The following is a 3,366-nucleotide window of genomic DNA, read 5'->3' as shown; positions in this document are numbered from 1 at the left end:
TGAGAAGTTGACCCTGGCAGGTGATCCAGAAGTGCTAGTATCCCCAGGCACCAGCTAAGGAAAATTAAATCTCTCCAGGAGAAACATAATATCATTATTTAAGGCCTCAAGTTACTTCTACAAGGAATTTTGCAAATGCAATATTCAGGGCATACTAAAAAAAAAATCTAGATAGGAGGCATGAGTGAAAGCTGACAAAAATAGCACAATGAAAATAGATTCACAAGGGCTCCAGACATTGACATTATCAGATACAGAATTTTAAGTAAATGTACTTTGGTGAAGATGGCAAAGAATGAGATTGAGAATTTTGTCAAATGTGGAAACTATAAATAAAAAATCAAACAGAAAATCTGGTAGAGAAAATGTAATGACAGAAATCGGAAGATCTCAGTAGCTGGGTTTAAGAGCAGATTGACACAACTGATGAGGGAATTAGGAACAGCCTGATGGGTTAAAGAAAATATCCAGAAGGAAATATGGAGATACAAAAAGGATGGAAAATGAGAATAGGGGTGAAAACCATGAGAATGAAGTGAAAAGCTCTACTTTATGAGTAATTATAGCTCCATAAAAAGAAGAGAAAGAGGATGGAGTGGAAGCACAATCTGAATAAATTAGAGATAAGAATTTTCCATAACTAATGAAATTCATCAAGCCACGGAAGCCCTACAAATCCAAAACAAGATAAATATAAATAAAATCATTTAGGTATATCATGACAATATTACCAAAAACCAAAGTTTAAAAACAAAATGCCAGATTAAAAAAAAGATTGCCTTTGAAGAGGGAACAATTTAACTCACAATTGACAGAAATGGTGGAAACCAGAAGACAATAGGATCATATTTTGAAGTGCTGAAAAAGAAAATTGCCAACCTTAAATTCTAAGCCTACTGAAAATATTTTCCTTTAATGAGGGTAAAGACCTTTCAAGCAAGCACTAAATTTAGAAAATTTGTCATTAGCAGACTCACACAAATGAAAATTCTAAACGTTATTCTTCAGAAAGAAGGAAAATTATTCTAGATGGAAGATTTTCCTTCTGTCTAAAGAACACCCAAATGGCTATATTGCACAGAAAAAAACTAAGAGCCTTTCCTCTGAGATCTGGAACAAGACAAGGATGCCCATTTTCACCATTGTTATTCAACACAGTACTGGAAGTCCTAGCTAGAGCAATCAGACAAGAGAAAAAAATAAAGGGAATCCAATCTTGAAAGGAAGAAGTCAAATTATTATTGTTTGCAGAGGATATGATCTTATATTTGAAAAAAACTAAAAAATCCACCCCAAAACTATTAGAACTAATAAATAAATTCAGTAAAGTTGCAGGATACAAAAATCAATATACAAAAAATCAGTAACATGATGCTGACAGAAAACAGTCTGAAAAAGAAATGAAGAAAGTAATCCCATTTACCATAGCTACAAATAAAATAAAATACCTAGGAATAAACTTAACCAAAGAAGTAAAAGATTTCTACAATGAAACCTATGAAACACTGATGCAAGAAATTGAAGAGAACACAAAAAAAGGAAGTGTATTCCATGTTCATGGATTGGAAGAAGAAGTATTTTTAAAATGTCCATGCTACAAAGCAATCTACAGATTCAATGCAATCCCTATCAAAATACCAATGACATTCTTCACAGAAATAGCAAAAAAAATCCTAAAATTTATATGAAACCACAAAAGTCCCAGAATAGCCAAAGCTATCCTGAGAAAAAGAACAGAACTGGAGGAATCACGTTATCTGGCTTCCTATTATACTGACCTAATGTAACCCAAAGAGCACAGTAGTGGCATCAAAACAGACACAGCTCGAGATCTTTTCTTACCTCCCGGTCTGGGACCAGATCCGCATCTACATCTGCAGCCCCGTCCCCACCTTGTGGGGACGGGGCGGGGTGGGGGCGGAGAAGACCGGACGGAGGGCGCACCTGGTACCTGGAGATGCAGATCCCGGATCCCACCTGGGGCCGAGGTGGTTCTAACCGCAGATCCCTTTCCTCAGGGTTTGTCACCGCTAGAAGAGGCTGGTGGACGACGGTGGCTGTGGTGACACGTCGACCTGACGCTCTACATGATGCGATTTAAAGTCATGTAGCACCTCCTTGGCCGGTACATGGCATCCCAGCTTCATTCCCTGTGGATGGGCGGCTACCTGTTCTCTGGCTCCAGTTGTCTCCTGTCCTGATAAGAGCCCTGGCCAGAAGTGCCCCAACCCGAAGCGCCTCTGCCTGCACGTGGCCGACCTGAGCACGGTGCCCATCACCAGCCTGTGCAGCGCCCTGGGGACCCTGGAGCTGCACAGCTGCGAGATCTCCATGGCCTGGCTCCTCAGGCAGCTGGACCCCACCATGCTGCCCCTGTTCGAATGCATCATGCTGGACTGCGTCCCTGCCTTCAGAGACGAGCACCAGCAGGGCCTGTCACGCTTCCAGGTCCTGCGCTTTCTGGTGGGGCGGCACCTACCGTGTAAGGGAGTTGCGGCTGGATGCCAGCCTGCAGGAGCTCAGCTACCTGCAGGGGCTTGAGGTGCTGGGCCGCAACCTCTCTGAGACAGCACCCTGCTGGCCATCAGCCGCTACCCGCGAGCCGTGCGCAAGATCAGGCTGACCTTAAGGGGCCTCTCTGCCCCTGGCCTGGCTGTCCTGGAGGGAATGCCAGCCCTGGAGAGTCTGTGCCAGCAGGGTCTTCTCAACACCCTAGAAATTCCCTCTTTCACGGAAATCCTCTCCTCCTGCCTCACCATGTCCAAGTTCAGAGTCCTTGAGCTGCAGTGGCAGGGGTGGGAGAGTCAGGAGGCCAATAGGACCATGTGTAAGGGGCTGCTTCACTGTATGGTCATTGTCAGGGCTTGCCCCAAAGAGTCCATGGACTGGTGGGTGTGACCACTTCATCTATCCCTGGGACCCATCCCACCGTTTATTGTTGAGCCTCAGACCCTCTGAACAGCACCTTGAAGAGGGCAGATAATTAGACTTGAGGGAACTGAAAGCCCCAGGTAGAGAGAACAGAGGCCTAGGGACCCAGACCTTTGGAATCATTGTTTGCCAGCTGTATGGCACTGGTCATGAGTTAGCCTCTTGGAAGCCTAGTTCCTACATGTGGAAACAAGGAAAACTACAGCTACCTCCTAGCTACATTGCAAAACCTTGCTCTAAAAGCTCCCAACCTCCAGAAGGCTGTCAATGAAGAGTCATTTTCAGGGTTGTCCTCAGGAACAGGACAGATGTAGAAGGGTGAGATTAAGAGCTAGGGGCACCCGAGGAGCTGAGCCCCCTTAAGAGTACCCCAGAAAGACTGCCTATGCATGCACACCAACAAGCCCATAGACCATTTATATCCTTACATGCATA

At 44.4% G+C, this 3,366-nt stretch overlaps 1 pseudogene; it reads left to right on the top strand.

Moving 5' to 3' along the window:
* FBXL12P1 (FBXL12 pseudogene 1) lies at positions 2,019 to 3,094 on the top strand (annotated as a pseudogene).

Source organism: Homo sapiens, chromosome 2, assembly GCF_000001405.40.
Source record: "Homo sapiens chromosome 2, GRCh38.p14 Primary Assembly".
Taxonomy (NCBI): domain Eukaryota; kingdom Metazoa; phylum Chordata; class Mammalia; order Primates; family Hominidae; genus Homo; species Homo sapiens.
Note: the sequence above shows the minus strand (reverse complement) of the source record. Positions and strands in the feature narration are given on the sequence as shown.